The sequence below is a fragment of the Homo sapiens genome, chromosome 1 (genome assembly GCF_000001405.40).
Source record: "Homo sapiens chromosome 1, GRCh38.p14 Primary Assembly".
Lineage (NCBI taxonomy): Eukaryota > Metazoa > Chordata > Mammalia > Primates > Hominidae > Homo > Homo sapiens.
In genome coordinates, this window is record NC_000001.11 from 203,044,497 (window position 1) to 203,059,296 (window position 14,800).

Sequence of the window (14,800 nt, forward strand, 5' to 3'; positions counted from 1 at the left end):
AGGCTGGTTCACCCCTGTGCCCTACTCTGTTTCTTGTCAGATTTCTCCCTGCCATGGCTGGAAGCTGCTAGGCAAGGCTAGGCTGAGCACCTCTTTCTAGGAGACATTTTTTAACTAAGACAGGGGCTTTGGAAGGGTCTGGAATGTATGGGAGGTTCTCTTCTCTTTGACTCATTGCCCTGGGGCTTGTGCCCTACAGGTGTCTGCCCTGCAGCAGGGGGCAGGGGTGCGGGATGGAGCGGCAGAAGAGGAGGGGACTGTGGAGCTGGGGCCGAAACGCCTGTGGAAGGTAGGTCATGGAGAGCTGTGTAGCAGGGGTCATGTGTTCCCCAAGGTGGGAGGTTGGAGGCCCGGCTCTGCCTTAGTTCAGTAGACTAACTGCTTGAATTAAATTTGAGGCTTTCTCTGATATTCCCCCTTCTCTTTTCTTCTTCTCCCTACCCCATCTGCAATGAAATCTGTAGATTTTTATTTTAGTGCCCAACACATGCTGGGCACATCATACGCTTGTCTGCTTGAATTGTTAGGCACCATCTGCCTCATGTGGCAGCATCAGGCAAGATTCCTTCTCTGTCTGAACCTTTGTTCCCCCAGTCACGCCCCTTTCTGGGTTACAAGAGGCTGGCATAGCAGATAAAACTAGAAACTTGTTTTCAAGAGAGACAAAGGATAGCAAGGTGTTTGGTCATTGTCAGGAGTGACCTCCTGGGGCCCAGAGGGAGGCAGTTGTAGCCAGAGGAGTGCTGTGATGTTGGGGGCAGAGCCTTGACCTGCTCTGGGTGTGCTGTTCCTCCTTCCACCCCTGGGATAGGGGAGTGGGGTGGGTGGGATGCTGCTGTGACTCACAGAGCTACTGTCCCTATCCCTGGAGGAGGATACGGGCCGGGTAGAGGAGCTGCAGGAGCTCCTGGAGAAGCAGAACTTTGAGTTGAGCCAGGCCCGGGAGCGACTGGTCACCCTAACAACAACCGTGACTGAACTCGAGGAGGACCTGGGCACGGCCCGCCGGGACCTCATCAAGTCGGAGGAGCTGAGCAGCAAGCATCAGCGGGACCTCCGGGAGGTGCGTGAGGGCGCAGGCCTGCTCTGTGACCTCATTGTGGAGCGTGTGGAGGGAGAGCCAGGCAAAGGCTCTGGGGCGTGAGACTGAACACCTGCCTCCTTGCCTGGCTCCATTGTTGGGGGGCGGTCATGGAAGGGGTGGGCCAAAGCCAGAAACTGACAGGAGAGTGTAGCTCATGCCCCTTAATGGGTTCCAATCAGCCAGGTGTGGGTGGGGAGGTGTAGACAGGATGGGGGCAAGGAAAGGCTGGTTACCGTCCTTCTTGTCCCCTCTTCTCCCAGGCTCTGGCCCAGAAGGAGGACATGGAAGAGCGGATTACTACACTGGAGAAGCGCTACCTGGCTGCTCAGCGTGAGGCAACATCCATCCATGACCTCAATGACAAGCTGGAGAATGAGCTGGCCAACAAGGAGTCCCTGCACCGCCAGGTACCTCCTCAGGGTGGGGTGGGGATGGGCATTGTACTTAGCCCTGGAGGTGTCCTCGTGAACCTACTGGTGATGGCTGAGGAGCCCCTGGGGTCCTGCAGGTCACCCTTTGAAAGGGGAAGTCAGGCGTCTCGGGCAGCCAACAACCAAGATTGTCCCTTGCTGCTTCTGACCTGTCATCTGCTCTCTGCTGAGGCTGGGGTGGGGGTGGGGGCTTCAGTGCTCCCTTTTGAATCACTTCACCACCCCCACATTGCTAGTGTGAGGAGAAGGCCCGACACCTGCAGGAGCTGCTGGAGGTGGCAGAGCAGAAGCTGCAGCAGACGATGCGCAAGGCAGAGACGCTGCCAGAGGTGGAGGCTGAGCTGGCCCAGAGAATTGCAGCCCTCACCAAGGCAAGTGGGCCAGGGGCCTGGGATCTGCCTCTGTCCCCCATGTTCTGAGCTCTCAGGGAGCCAGGCAGGGAAGGGAGCGCGTGGGAGGCGCACTGGGCCAGGAGCCAGAAAACTGCTTCCCGCCGTGTGATTCCAGGGAGCACACTGCCTTGTGCCTGTCAGTTGGAAGAGTAATCCCTGTCCTCATCACCCTGCAGGGATGTGACAGTCTCATAAGAAGGGGTGTAAAAGTACTTGAAGGAGAAGAAGCTATGTTGATGCAAAGTGTTTTTCTTTTTCTTTTTTTTTTTTTTTAATCCTCTACACCGTCGTGGTGAACACTTTCTTTCACTTGGGGCTGGAGCAGAAAGATTAGGACTTTCATCTCTGGAAAGGTGAAACCTTAGAAGAGAAATGGTATATATATCCCTGAAGGGCAAAGGGGTGAGAGTTAGGTTGAGTACATCTTTGATTGCCAAATTGAAGCTTCTAGATCTAGGGACTGCTCCTGGTTGTTTGAAGGCTGCAGTTTTAGGATGAAGAAAAAAGAATACAATTTTATTTAATGGATACTTTATGAAGTAGTAATTCCTGAGAGGTGTGCTGGCTGAAAACATAATAGGTTCTGGAAGAGCCAGGTAAATGCCTGGATTTAGACATGCAGGGGTTAATCAAAATAATTTAGGAGCGTTTTCAGCTGGTCAGCCTCATATGGGATCTTCGAACCCGTGGCGAGAAGAAAACCGGTGTTTAGGAAGCACCAGGCACAGTGCTCGGAAGGGAGAGGCTGGCCGGCCAGTGTGCAGCTCAGCTGCTTCGAGGACGGAACCTGCAGCCTGGCTGTGTCCCAGCAGACCCAGGACCAAGACTGCTTCTGCCACTGACTGTCTCTGCGACCTGGGAAAAGTCATCCCCTCCCTTAACTGGGCCTCAGTGTCCTTATCACTATGTTGGAGTTAGACGGGATGGTCTCGGAGGTCTTTCCAGCCTCGAGGAATGAAGGATTGGGTTGAAATCACAGCAGAGGATGTTATGTGTGGGCTGCTGAGCAGTCAGCCTTAGTGTCTCCCAAAGCTGACATGAAGGCACGGGCTGAAATGATTAATACAGTCAAGTGAGTCATCGCAGGAGGAGTTTAAGGAAGGATTTCCTGACTATAAGAGATGTGGCTTTCTAGAATATCTTGCCAGCAGAGACAGTAGGGTCTCCATCTCTGGACATCCATGACTGGAAAGGGAGACTACCCCACCTGGGCTGGTTTAACAGCAGAGCCGTAACCATGCGGGGCTAACATTTGTTGAGTGCTTACTATGTTCTCAGTGTTCGCCTTGGATTATTTCATTTAGTCTTTGTGATGGTCCAGTGGGCCTGGGTGCTATTATTACCCACATTTTACAGTTGTGGAAACGAAGGCACATAGAGGTTTGGTAACTTGTCTAAGGTCACACAGGTGGTAAGAGGGAGCCAGGATTTGAACCCAGGCGGTGTGGCATGAGCCCATGCTCTTCAGTGTGGTTCTATCCATCTGGAGGCGTAGAGGTTTATGGTAGCTCATGCTTTCAAGTGGAGCTTTTTCTGGAAGCATGGGGATTATTTACAGTCTCTTGAACTGCTAGCTTCAGGATGTTTTAAGGCTAGGCCTGAGCGAGGAGGAGGCAGGGGAGACCTGGCAGGTATTGAAGTACCTGGGAAGAAAGGCAATGGGGATGGTGGTCCTGCTCCAAGATGATAAGTGGAGGCTGAGCGTCACTGGTACTGGGGGCCATGATCCCCAGGGCCACCCTGGCACCAGGGTGCAGGGGATGCGGGGCCTGAGCAGGAAGAACAGAGATCTGCGGGCTGCACCGACCCATCCCTGCCCCTAGGCTGAAGAACGGCATGGCAACATTGAGGAGCACCTGCGGCAGCTGGAGGGACAGCTGGAGGAGAAGAACCAGGAGCTGGCACGGGTGAGGGCACCAGGCCGGGCCCTCAGGCCCCCTCCTTCCCGCAGGACAGGCTCCCAGGGCGGTCTGTGGAAGGGGCACGGAGGAAGGGCCTGGCCAGGGACACAGCCACAGAGAGTGGGAGGAGGCTGGCAGGTGAAGGGGGAGGTGGTCAGGAGACTGGAGAGAGTGGCTCCCAGAGGATGAGAAGAGGACAGGGGAGGGAGTCAAACCCCAGCAGGAGAGGGTGGTCCTCCCTGGGAGGGCGGCCTGGTGCGAGGCAGACGGCTGTGCAGGTGCGCCAGCGGGAAAAGATGAATGAGGACCACAACAAGCGGCTGTCGGACACAGTGGACCGGCTGCTCAGCGAGTCCAACGAGCGTCTGCAGCTCCACCTGAAGGAGCGCATGGCTGCCCTGGAGGAGAAGGTGCCCAGAGGGGCGGGGTTGGGATGCGAGAGGTTAGTGCTGGGTGTGGGGCGGGGGGAGGCGGGACTGTGATGGGCGCAGGCGGGGTCTCAATGGGGTGGGTGGCCAGCCTGGAGAGGTGGGGCTGAGACTGCACACCCAGAGGCTCAGGTCTGGAATGGGAGAGGAAGGCAGGGGCCTGGCTCACAGCTGCTCTCCCCCAGAACACGTTGATCCAGGAGTTGGAGAGCTCCCAGCGGCAGATTGAGGAGCAGCACCACCACAAGGTACCCGGCTGCGGCCAGCCCCGCCCAGCCTGGGAGGGCCGGGTTGCAGGGAGGAAAGGACACCCTGCTTTTAACGCTGCTGCTCTGATACCTGGCAGTGTTAGTGCATATGTTAGTGCACTACATACATTATTCCGTGATTTCTCACTAGAGCCCATCATGGTAGGTGCATTACTGCCCACAGGGAAAGAAGAAACTGAGGCCAGAAGCATAGGGCAGAGGTGGACAGCAGAGAGGCAGGGCCCAGTGAGGGGCTCCACCCCAGGATTTGGAGGGAGCTTCAAACCCTGGTGCAGCCAGAGCCTGGTGATTCTGGGAGGATTTGCCTCCGTCCTGGCCTCGGCAATGTCTGTGAGGTCTGAGGGGGTGCTGGGGCCCTCTGCTGCCCAGCCTCATCTGCTGTGCATCTGTGCAGTAGTGAGGGGTCGGCAGGCCTAGGCTAGCAGAGCCCTCCCCAGACAGACCCCCTCCTGGCCCTGCCCCTGCCCATCCTTCCACTCACTCTCTGGTTGGACCTCTTCTCTTTTGGTGTCATCTGTGGGCCTGGCCTGGGGCCCCTGGCTTTGGACTTTGCAGTACATTCTTCAGCTTCTCCCCAACTCTGCTGTCCTCTTTGTCCCTCTCTGACTCCCACCCTCCCTCTCTGCCCCTCCCTGGCCCCCACTCCCGCCCCCACCCCGGGTCTGCTGGCACAGGGCCGCCTGTCTGAAGAGATTGAGAAGCTGCGCCAAGAGGTGGACCAGCTGAAGGGCCGAGGGGGGCCGTTTGTGGATGGCGTCCACTCCAGGTACTGCAGCGCCAGAGGCTGGGCATGCCAGGACGGGGTCCTGATGGACCGTGAGGAAGGAGACTTCCTTCCAACAAAAGACTGCCCAGGACCTCAGGGTCCTCCTCCTGTTCAGGGTGGGACACTGAGGCTCAGATAACTTGGTCAGAGTCACCCAGCTTACTTGGGCAGTTTGGGAGGGAACACCTGTCCTCCGAGGGCTGCTGAGAGGCGAGTCATCAGACAGCCAGTGCTCTGTCCCCGCTGTGGTAGGACATAGGCCATGATTTCTGCTTCCTTGACAGAGGGCACACCCCTGAGAGAGGCCTGCACATCCCTTGCTTAGCCATGTCCTACAGGGCCCACTGGTAGGGAGAGCCATTCACTCCAGTTCTCTTGAGAGTCAAGGACCACCTGAGTTCAGGCAGCGGGCAGAAAGGCAGCAGGAGAGATTGGAATGAAGCATCAGAAACTTCCTTACTGGAAGTTGAGACGCCATGGCAATCCTATGGACTTGGCATCCCTTTTCTTGAAACCATTGTGAGAGATGGAGCTTATCTCCTAATGCTTGAATTAGGCCCATGTTTAGGGAACCTCGGGATTTCCCCCACATTTTGTGGAGCGATGGGTATTGAATTCAGACCTCGAGCCTGTCCTCAGTACCCAGGCCAGAGAGGTGGGGTGAAGACAGGGGAGACTGAAATGGATGGTGCCACTCAAGGTTCATGGCTCTTGGCTGTTTTCTCTCCAAACCAAAGTCTCTTAGATCAGAACCCTTGCCGTTCCCTTTGGTCATGTGCTTGCTGTATCAGGGAAATGGAGATGAACTACCATGAAGAAAGGTTAATGGAAATATCCATATAGATATGTGTGGAGGGGCAGTGGTTGAAATAGGGAAGGGGATGTTGAGCTTGAAGAAGAGAAGCCCACGGGTGTCTGGGGTGGTAGAGACTTAAGTGCCATCTCCACGCTCGCCAGGAATTATTGTATATGGGTATGAAGGGAAGCAGAGGATGGAGACAGGCAACAGTAGTTGGCATTTCTCCTACTTCTCCCATCCTGACCAGAAGAGACAACCCCTCAATTAGTAAAATACGGCCCACAGTACACCAAGCCATTTGCCACTGCTTGGCTTTTTTTTTTTTTCTTAATGGTTGGGAATGCTTGGGTTCGACTATAGAATCATTGGATTCATCGTGGAATTGGGGCTGAGTTGCAGGGAGAAAAGGGGAACATGCAGGAACTTCCCTCTCCCTCCAGTGACCTCGTATGGTCTGTTGTAGGCTCACTGTGTCCCTTCACTCTGGACTCCCTCAAGGGTTCCAAGTAGGAAGGCACAGGGAGGAAGTATCACTAGGGGAGGCTTCCAGATATTCCAGGGGATTGTTGCTTGGGTCCTAAAATCTCAGGGTTGGAATAGACTCTTGGGGCAAAGTATTTTCTCTGGCTTGTGTTTCTGACAGTGTTAGGGCCTCCTAAAGCTTCCTAGGCATAGGGGTATGCCTGGCTTGAATTTTAACCAGGGACTCAGTCCAGATTATGGGGAGACCCGAGGAAAAGTGCTGGGTAGAAGACCAAAAAACAAAGACCCTCAGAGTGAAAAGGGCCTCTAGACATCATCCCTTCCAACATCTCCCAGTGCCTGGAGCCCTCCTGCGCCACGTGTGTCAGATGGCCGGAGAGCCTCTGCTCGAATACCTCTTTGATGGGGAGCTCAACTTTTTAAAAGCCACCAGTTGCATCGTAAGCCAACTCTTGCCATTAGAAGATCCTTCTTATGCCAGACGGAAAACCGCTCTCTGGAACTTTCTCCCCTGGCTCATTCTGACCCCTGGAGCACCAGGGCATACGTCTGCTCTCTTGCTTACACGGCAGCCCTTCAGACATTTGTGACAGCTCTGTGTCCTGCTAAGATGTCTCTTCTCTGAGCTGAAGATCCCTTGACTCTTTGGGCCCACTGGGTGTGAGCTGGGGGTCTCAGTCCTCAGGGCCTGTCTTTTCTCTCCCCCATCACCGCTCAAGGTCGCACATGGGCAGTGCAGCAGACGTGCGGTTCTCCCTGGGCACAACCACACACGCACCCCCAGGCGTGCATCGCCGCTACTCGGCATTGAGGGAAGAGTCTGCCAAGGTGAGGGGGTGGAGGGATCTCCTCAGGGAGTTTGGGGTCAATTCGGCCGCGTGCCTGGCTCCAGTTACGCAGACGGCTGGTGTGTGGGGCAAATCCTTCCCCTTCCCTCCCGTGTCAATGACAGCTGCAGCCCTGGGGTTGAGGCCATCGTCAGCTGCAACAGCTGTGCCCCCCCCCCCGCTTGCCTTGGCCTCCTGGTGGGCAAGAGGTGGGGGCTGGCAGGCAGCCAACAGTCCCTGAGGCCCCACTGAAGTGTGTGTGCGTGTGCCTGGGCGTGCAGGCGTGTGTATCTGGTGGTCGGGCGTGGGGGGTGGGGGAGCTTCACGGGTAAGATGGAATTGGCAGACTTTCTGGAACAAAAGCTGTGGTTCATGGCGGAGACGAGGGAGGGATGACAGGTTAACTGGCCCTTGGGATGGCACCTGGAGTTTTCCGAGAAGCAGCTGTGAGTTCATGCTGTCTGAGTCTGCCTAGGGAGATTAGGGGAGAATGAGGAAAGATATGGGGCAGAAAAATGCCGAGTTTGATCTTTTGGGAAAGTGCAATTATTCGTCATGCTCTGTCCTGAATCCAGGTCCTCTAAATATCATTTAGAGCACTGGGGTATTAGAAGATATAGATGGAGAAAGAGGGAACTCCTAGTCTCAGGGGAAGATTCACTCTGCCCTTAAGAAATCCTCAGTCCGATGGGGGAGTCACAGTCTGAAGGTGCCTCTTTTTCTTTCTCCCCCGACTTCTTTGCTCTTTCTGTTTATAAGAATATAGCAGCTATCCAGGAGCTGAGAGGCTGCAGGAGCCTGAAGGGGAGCTAGGGGGCTTGGGTCATAGAGGATGGGTGTTAGAGTACCTTTCTGTCCCTGGCTCCCTTCCTTCCTTCTCTACTCTTCTGTTCTCCACCCTCCCCTCTTCTGGGCCTTTGTCCGCTGGATAGGTTTGTAGGATGATTTCAGAGAAGCTGCCGCCTCTCAGGGTTGACCAGACTGTCCTGTGATGATCTGAAACTCTGCAGACTGTCTATTCAGGCCTGCTTGGCCTTTCTGTTCTCTGGGTGTAGTCAGCCTTTGAGTTTGTATGGATGGAAACTGATAGCATTTATGTAGTGCTTGCTTTGTGCCAGGCACAGTGCTAAGGGCTTTACATGTATTTTCCTCATTTGATCCTCACAGCTATCTATGAGGTAAGTACTTTACCATCCCTATTTTACAGATGAAGAAACTGAGGCACAGAGAGGTTAAAAAATGTTCCTATGGTTGCACAACTAGTGTTTGGTGGAGATGAGATTCAAACCAAAGCCGTCTCTCTCTGGATTCTCTTCTTAACAGTTAGAGCAGTATTTCTTAGACTGTAATGTGCAAACAAATCACCCAGGGGTCAGCCGGGCACGGTGGCTCACGCTTGTAATCCCAGCACTTTGGGAGGCTGAGGTGGGTGGATTGCTTGAGCTCAGAAGTTCACTACCAGCCTGGGCAACATGGTGAAACCCCGTCTCTACTAAAATACAAAAAATCAGCCGGGCGTGGTGGCGTGCGCTTGTAATCCTAGCTACTCGGGAGTCTGAGGCAGGAGAATTGCTTGAACCTGGGAGGCGGAGGTTGCAGTGAGCCGAGATCACGCCACTGCCCTCCAGCCTGGGTGACAGAGGGAGACTCCATCTCAAAAAACAAACAAACCAAAAACCAAAAACCAAAAAACCACCCAGGGGTCTTGTTAAAATGCAGATGTTGAATCAGTAGGTCTGGTGGTGCGGCCTGAGATTCTGCATTTCCAGCAAGCTCCCAGGAGATGCCAGTGCTGGTGGGTAGAGGTAGGGAGGGTCCTGCTCTGCAGTTATCTGGGTGTCTTATTACGACTCCTTTACCCTCCTCCTTTGCTAAGGACTGGGAGACTTCTCCACTGCCTGGGATGCTGGCCCCGGCAGCTGGCCCTGCCTTTGACAGTGACCCTGAGATCTCCGACGTGGATGAGGATGAGCCAGGGGGTCTGGTGGGCTCTGCGGATGTTGTCTCCCCCAGCGGCCACTCAGATGCCCAGACCCTGGCCATGATGCTGCAGGAGCAGCTGGATGCCATCAATGAGGAAATCAGGTTAGGGCAGGGCTGGAGGGCTTGGGAAGTGCATTGAAGGGCAGGGGGGCCCTTTGTGTTGGAAAAACCCTATATGGGTTTGCCCAACTCTTATAGCTGCAACTTAGAGTACCACAGTTCAGGGACCCTCTGTGGGTCATCAGGCCCGCTGCCAGTGCCGGAGTGAGAGGAGCAGGGCCTCAGTGGACTTCTCAGGCTTCACCTCCCCTCTCAGGGCTTGCGATGTGGCTGGGCTCAGGAGGATGCATGCTGTGTTCCTGCAGCCCTGCAGCTGATCTTAACCACTAAGAGTGTAGCTCCTGCTTACTGAGGCTAGCTCAGGGTGAGAGCTTTGTAAATGTCACTGTCCATCTTACCACAGTGCCTGAGGTAGGCAGCATGATCCCTGTTTTACAGACAAGGGAACAGAAACTCAGAGAGGTTAAGTGACTTGCCCAAAGCCACACAGAAGTGACAGAGCCAGGATTCAAACTCAAGTCTGAACTTGGCCCACTGCACCATGCCTCCTGTCCCTAATAAGGCATCAAACAGAAACAGTGACAGGGAACGTTGTGAAAACCTTCACTTTGTCCTGCCTTTTTAATGAGTTTATTAATGTTAATGACAAACAGCAGGGCAATATCTGAGCTGGAGTGTATCAGAGCTTTATAAGCTGTACAGGACATCCAGTTCAATGGTTCAATGTATTGCACAGACCAGTTACAAAGAAGACACACACACACACACACACACACACACACATACACACACAGAGAGAGAGAGAGAAAGGTACAAACGTAGGACCACCAGCTTTTTATTTTGCAAAGTAAAACATTAATGATAATGACTATCTATTATCGCAATCATTTTGCAAAAGAAAGGACATTTTAACATTCCTGAAGTAAGAAAGACATACTCAGAATAAAGGCGAGTCCTTCTTTGTGAAAGGGAGTGGGCATCTTTACTGGAGCATGTGTGTGTGAGAGAGTGTGTGTGTGTGCGTGTGCATGCACTCCTTGCTGAGTGCCTCCCAGGCACACACGTGTACCATTTTTATTATTTCTCTCATTTTTCTGTGGAACAGGGAAAACCCCACCAGGGGTCAGCATCATTTAAAAGTCCTACACTTGGAAACTGCTGACTTATACCACTTCAGACATAGCATATGTTGGGAAACTGAGGCACAGACAGCAAAATACCTGACTCAAGGCCACCCTATAGTTAGGGGTATGTCAAGAATTCTGATTTTCAGGATGGTTTATGTTCCACTGACGAAAGTGCCTCCTTCCCCAGCAGCTGCTTTTGTTAAACGGAGGGAGTAGGCAAGCTAACAAGAAAGAGATGTGTTTCTAAGCTCCAGTGGGACAGACAAAGCCTGGCGGGTGTACACCGCATGTGGTCCTTGGTGGCGAGTGCAGGCATCGACCCGCACTGCCTCCTGCTGGTCCTGGCTGGGGCTAGTGGTGAGGTCTGGTTTTGCCTCCCTTCCAGGATGATTCAGGAAGAGAAGGAGTCCACGGAGCTCCGCGCGGAGGAGATTGAGACGCGTGTAACCAGTGGCAGCATGGAAGCCCTAAACCTGAAGCAGCTGCGCAAGCGTGGTTCCATCCCCACCTCTCTGACGGCCCTGTCCCTGGCCAGCGCGTCCCCACCACTCAGCGGCCGCTCCACACCTAAGCTCACCTCCCGCAGTGCTGCCCAGGACCTGGACCGAATGGGGGTCATGACCCTGGTGAGAGGCAGCTGAGGAGCAGGCCTGGCATCACTGGACCCTGCACCGGGGGAGGTTTTAAGGGATGGTAGGACTCACGTGCTCTCAGCTGGGCCTGCCATCTTCTTCCCATGGTGTGTGCAGACCCCGACATGTCAGGCCACCAGCCTGTCCTTCTGGGTTTGGGAAGGGCCTAGGTCATATCTTCTTTGCCCTCTCCCTTGGATGAGCCCAGACTGCTTAAGAAACTCACCCACTGCCCTCACCTCTTCCTTTCTTCCAGAGAAATAAGCCCTGGCTTGTTTTTCTAGGCCAGCTTTTTTTTTTTTTTCTGGCGTGATATTCTCTCCGGGCCTGTGTGAGGCACTGAATCCTATCTTCTCATCCTAAGACCACTGGGCTCCCCTGGGGTTGGCTCTAGGGCACCCAGAGGGTGAGTCTGAGCTTACCCATCCCTCTCTCTTGCAGCCCAGTGACTTAAGAAAGCATAGGAGGAAGCTGCTGGTGAGTGCTGCCTGATGGCCCAGGTACTAACGGGTTCACTGCTCCCATGCCCTTTCCTTTCAGCTTCCTCCCCCAGGGCCCTTGAGTCTGAGTCTGAACTCAGAGAGGCACCCAGGGCCTCCCCACTGCATTTCTCCATGCTCCGCCACCTCTTCTGGGCTGGGTAGGCAGGCCCGAGATCTCTCCCTCTATCCCCTGACGGCTCCACTGTCTGTTCAGTCGCCAGTGTCTCGGGAAGAGAACCGAGAGGATAAAGCCACCATAAAATGTGAGACTTCTCCTCCTTCCTCACCCAGGACGCTGCGGCTAGAGAAGCTTGGCCACCCAGCCCTGAGCCAGGAAGAAGGCAAGAGGTAAGTAGAGCAGACCCCACCTCCAGTCTCTCCATCCACAGGGTCCTCTCCTCCCTTCCTCTGCCTCTGCAGGGACCGCATCTCCCCTGTCCCAGTTTCTGAATGTCTTACTTCTCTTTGAAACACCATCAGGGAAGGGAGTTCATGTGTCTCCTTTTCCCCCATCCCAGTTCTGACTTAATAGAAGTTCTTCCTGAGGTCTAACTTCCATCTTTCCTGCTGTCACTTAAGTATGTTTCTTCTTATTCCGCCCCCTTCTGGCTGTCACCCTGTAGTGCCTTGGAGGATCAGGGCAGCAACCCCAGCAGCAGCAACAGCAGCCAGGACTCCCTGCACAAGGGCGCCAAGCGCAAGGGCATCAAGTCGTCCATTGGCCGCCTGTTTGGGAAGAAGGAGAAGGGCAGGCTGATCCAGCTGAGTCGGGATGGAGCCACAGGCCATGGTCTCTGTCCCCTTCCTAACGGAGGTCTGGGCGGGCATTGGGGCATCAGAAGCAGGAAGGTGTACTTGGACTGGCCTTCTCTGCCTGCGTCCCAGGGACCAGTTGGGGGAAGCCCCAGGCAGGTTACCTCAGATCTGCAGAAGCAGTTTTTGGTTAGAGCTATTCATGGCGGGGTGGATTGCCTTGTGAGGGGGTAAGCTTCTGCCTCTGCAAGCGTCAGGAAGTGGCTGGATGGCTTTATTTGGCATGCTGTGGAAAGGTCTCCTGTATTGAGTGAAAGATTGGGTGTCTGGGGTTTCTTTGAATTTGGAGATTTTCTGAGGTACTGTGCTCGGGACCTTCAGGAGAAATCTCTTGGTTGTTTCTTTAGAAGAGTCAGTTCTTGATTGGAACTTATTTCTGGGTACATCTGGCCTCTGGGACTCAAAATGTGATAACACCTAATTATAGCTTTGTAGACATTAAATTCAAGGAAGAGCTTAGGCAAGCGTGGCATCGTTATCACCTCTGTGATAGTATAAATGTCTAGTACATGCTTGGCATGTGGTGAGTACACGTTAAATGTTAGCTTTCATCTGCCCCCTCTCTTCTATTTCTTCTTTTCTCTTTTCCTTCCTGTTCCTCCACCTTTTCTTTCTGTCATCTATTCAGCCATTTGTTCCACAAACATTTATTGAGTAACTACTGTATGTCTTAGTAACAGGTGCTGACCAACAGTTCACTCCTTCAAGGAGTTCAGTGTCTAATGAAAAGGAAGAAGAGACAATTCCAGAACAACCTATTGATAGAGATGTGCCCAGGGTGCTTGTGGGACTCAGAACTCGGCTATGGAATGGTGGGGACAACAGGGGCGGCCTCCTTTGGTAGCGACACCTGAGCTAAAGTGTGAGGGCCACATAGGAATTAGCCGAGCCAGGGAGACATCTGTGTGTGGAGGAAGGGGTTGGTCTGGGAAAGGCAAAAGTTTGTGGGTGTGAGAGGTTGGTATGTACTTATGCATATTCTGAGTTGAGAAGGAGGAGGGTGGGCGGAGTGGGGAGATGGGACTGGACAGCTAGGCTGGGGCCAGCTGTGAGGGCCTTGCAGCATCTGTTTTAGTTTAAGAGTTCCCCTGAGGCAGTGGGAGCATTGATGAATTTCGTGCAGGGGAGGAACTCATCAACTAGAATAAAGGAACCTTTGGACCCAAATGCATAATTAGACCTTTCTGCAGCTCAGGAAGATGTGAATCAGAAGACAGCTAGCTGGCTGAGGAGGAGGAGGAGGGAGAGCACGCGAGGAGGAGGTTGGGGAAAGAGGAAGGAGAAAGAGGAATTTGCTGAGACAGGGAGAGGTCTGTGTGTGAAGGAAAGGGGTGGTCTGGGAACGGGGAGGAGGAACATGGCCACCTCTGCTCAGAATATGGGAGTGTCAGCCCAGAGAATGAGGTCCAGCTCCTTCTTCCCCAGTCCACAGGGGTGAGGGGAGTTGTGGAGCTGGCCACAGACAGGGGAAGCTGAACGGTTTGATCAGGGGAAGAAGCATTTTGGGTGAAGCCTTATGATTTTCGATGCTCTCCACACACGTTGGCACCTAAACCTGAGACAGCACCTCAGATTGGTTTCTGGATTACCCAAACTTGTTGCCTACTGTGCACTGTGGGGGGGTGACCGGGACTTAAAAGAATTCTAAGATTCTGCCTCTGGCCACGAATTCTGAAGGGTTCTAGCATCAATTCAAGGAGATGTTTAGTAGAAGACAGAACTCTGCATGTTCCCCTTTGTGGTTTTGTGCAAGTGAATGCACCCAGAGAAGGAGGCTCAGAGACACAGCTCTCAGTGTGTGGATTTCCACACCCCTGACCCAAGCCAGGGTCATCCTTCTCTCTGAGCCTTGTAGCCCACTTGTGTTTGGGGCTCTGGGTTTCCTTTGCACCTTGGCTTGGAGGAAGGACAGGTTCTGTCTAGGATTCTAGGGTCGATAACTTGGGTCCATCTGGCTGGAAAACACCCCCAAGGCTGAGGCTCCTGGGGAGACTCTCTGAACTGGGGATGACCCGCTTGATGCCATTCTCTGAGACTGCTTGGATGCAGGGACACTGAGCAGAAGCTCCAGGAATAATGGTCCCGTCAGGCCATGGGTTGTCCTCTGCCAAGGAGCCTCCTGCTGCTTCTGTTCCCCACCCCTGATCCAGGCAAGGGAGGAGAGGCAGAGGGGCTGGCTGACACACACATCTCTTTCCTTGTAGTTCTGCTAACAGACTCCGAATTCAGTATGCAGGAGCCTATGGTGCCTGCCAAGCTGGGGACCCAGGCAGAGAAGGACCGGCGGCTAAAGAAGAAGTAAGAGCCACAGGCCAGGGTCTGC

The 14,800-nt window shown here is 53.9% G+C and overlaps 1 protein-coding gene across 10 annotated transcripts in view, besides 8 other annotated features; it reads left to right on the forward strand.

The window, feature by feature from the left end:
- PPFIA4 (PPFI scaffold protein A4) overlaps window positions 1–14,800 on the forward strand; it is a 52,246-nt gene that overhangs the window by 18,006 nt on the left and 19,440 nt on the right. For 3 of the 10 annotated variants that reach the window (NM_001304331.2, NM_001393952.1, NM_001304332.2), the window contains exons 6-20: window positions 200–289; window positions 872–1,063; window positions 1,345–1,491; window positions 1,752–1,886; window positions 3,731–3,814; window positions 4,087–4,218; window positions 4,422–4,484; window positions 5,180–5,271; window positions 7,273–7,381; window positions 9,257–9,465; window positions 10,936–11,176; window positions 11,624–11,659; window positions 11,879–12,012; window positions 12,288–12,454; window positions 14,682–14,775. In NM_001304331.2, coding sequence (NP_001291260.1) covers window positions 200–289; window positions 872–1,063; window positions 1,345–1,491; window positions 1,752–1,886; window positions 3,731–3,814; window positions 4,087–4,218; window positions 4,422–4,484; window positions 5,180–5,271; window positions 7,273–7,381; window positions 9,257–9,465; window positions 10,936–11,176; window positions 11,624–11,659; window positions 11,879–12,012; window positions 12,288–12,454; window positions 14,682–14,775 — 1,925 coding nt within the window. The remainder of the gene's footprint in view (window positions 1–199; window positions 290–871; window positions 1,064–1,344; window positions 1,492–1,751; window positions 1,887–3,730; window positions 3,815–4,086; window positions 4,219–4,421; window positions 4,485–5,179; window positions 5,272–7,272; window positions 7,382–9,256; window positions 9,466–10,935; window positions 11,177–11,623; window positions 11,660–11,878; window positions 12,013–12,287; window positions 12,455–14,681; window positions 14,776–14,800) is intronic. The other 7 variants (NM_001393953.1, NM_001393954.1, NM_001393955.1 and 4 more) reach the window with 5 other exon arrangements.
- Window positions 45–339: a silencer, noted in NCBI's record as "tiled region #9252; K562 Repressive non-DNase unmatched - State 20:ReprD". NCBI's record gives its function as "represses a minimal TATA promoter and a strong SV40 promoter by Sharpr-MPRA in K562 cells {active_cell/tissue: K562}" and the evidence as "EXISTENCE:reporter gene assay evidence [ECO:0000049][PMID:27701403]".
- Window positions 319–957: an enhancer, noted in NCBI's record as "H3K4me1 hESC enhancer chr1:203013943-203014581 (GRCh37/hg19 assembly coordinates)". NCBI's record gives its function as "activates a minimal SCP1, AML or CMV promoter by ChIP-STARR-seq in primed H9 embryonic stem cells {active_cell/tissue: H9 hESC(primed)}" and the evidence as "EXISTENCE:reporter gene assay evidence [ECO:0000049][PMID:30033119]".
- Window positions 958–1,595: an enhancer, noted in NCBI's record as "H3K4me1 hESC enhancer chr1:203014582-203015219 (GRCh37/hg19 assembly coordinates)". NCBI's record gives its function as "activates a minimal SCP1, AML or CMV promoter by ChIP-STARR-seq in naive H9 embryonic stem cells {active_cell/tissue: H9 hESC(naive)}" and the evidence as "EXISTENCE:reporter gene assay evidence [ECO:0000049][PMID:30033119]".
- Window positions 1,748–1,950: a silencer, noted in NCBI's record as "fragment chr1:203015372-203015574 (GRCh37/hg19 assembly coordinates)". NCBI's record gives its function as "represses an EF-1alpha promoter that drives an FKBP-Casp9 reporter gene in an ReSE screen in K562 erythroleukemia cells {active_cell/tissue: K562}" and the evidence as "EXISTENCE:reporter gene assay evidence [ECO:0000049][PMID:32094911]".
- Window positions 3,467–4,364: an enhancer, noted in NCBI's record as "H3K27ac-H3K4me1 hESC enhancer chr1:203017091-203017988 (GRCh37/hg19 assembly coordinates)". NCBI's record gives its function as "activates a minimal SCP1, AML or CMV promoter by ChIP-STARR-seq in primed H9 embryonic stem cells {active_cell/tissue: H9 hESC(primed)}" and the evidence as "EXISTENCE:reporter gene assay evidence [ECO:0000049][PMID:30033119]".
- Window positions 7,011–7,552: an enhancer, noted in NCBI's record as "H3K27ac-H3K4me1 hESC enhancer chr1:203020635-203021176 (GRCh37/hg19 assembly coordinates)". NCBI's record gives its function as "activates a minimal SCP1, AML or CMV promoter by ChIP-STARR-seq in naive H9 embryonic stem cells {active_cell/tissue: H9 hESC(naive)}" and the evidence as "EXISTENCE:reporter gene assay evidence [ECO:0000049][PMID:30033119]".
- Window positions 10,053–10,804: an enhancer, noted in NCBI's record as "OCT4-NANOG-H3K4me1 hESC enhancer chr1:203023677-203024428 (GRCh37/hg19 assembly coordinates)". NCBI's record gives its function as "activates a minimal SCP1, AML or CMV promoter by ChIP-STARR-seq in primed H9 embryonic stem cells {active_cell/tissue: H9 hESC(primed)}" and the evidence as "EXISTENCE:reporter gene assay evidence [ECO:0000049][PMID:30033119]".
- Window positions 10,805–11,556: an enhancer, noted in NCBI's record as "H3K4me1 hESC enhancer chr1:203024429-203025180 (GRCh37/hg19 assembly coordinates)". NCBI's record gives its function as "activates a minimal SCP1, AML or CMV promoter by ChIP-STARR-seq in primed H9 embryonic stem cells {active_cell/tissue: H9 hESC(primed)}" and the evidence as "EXISTENCE:reporter gene assay evidence [ECO:0000049][PMID:30033119]".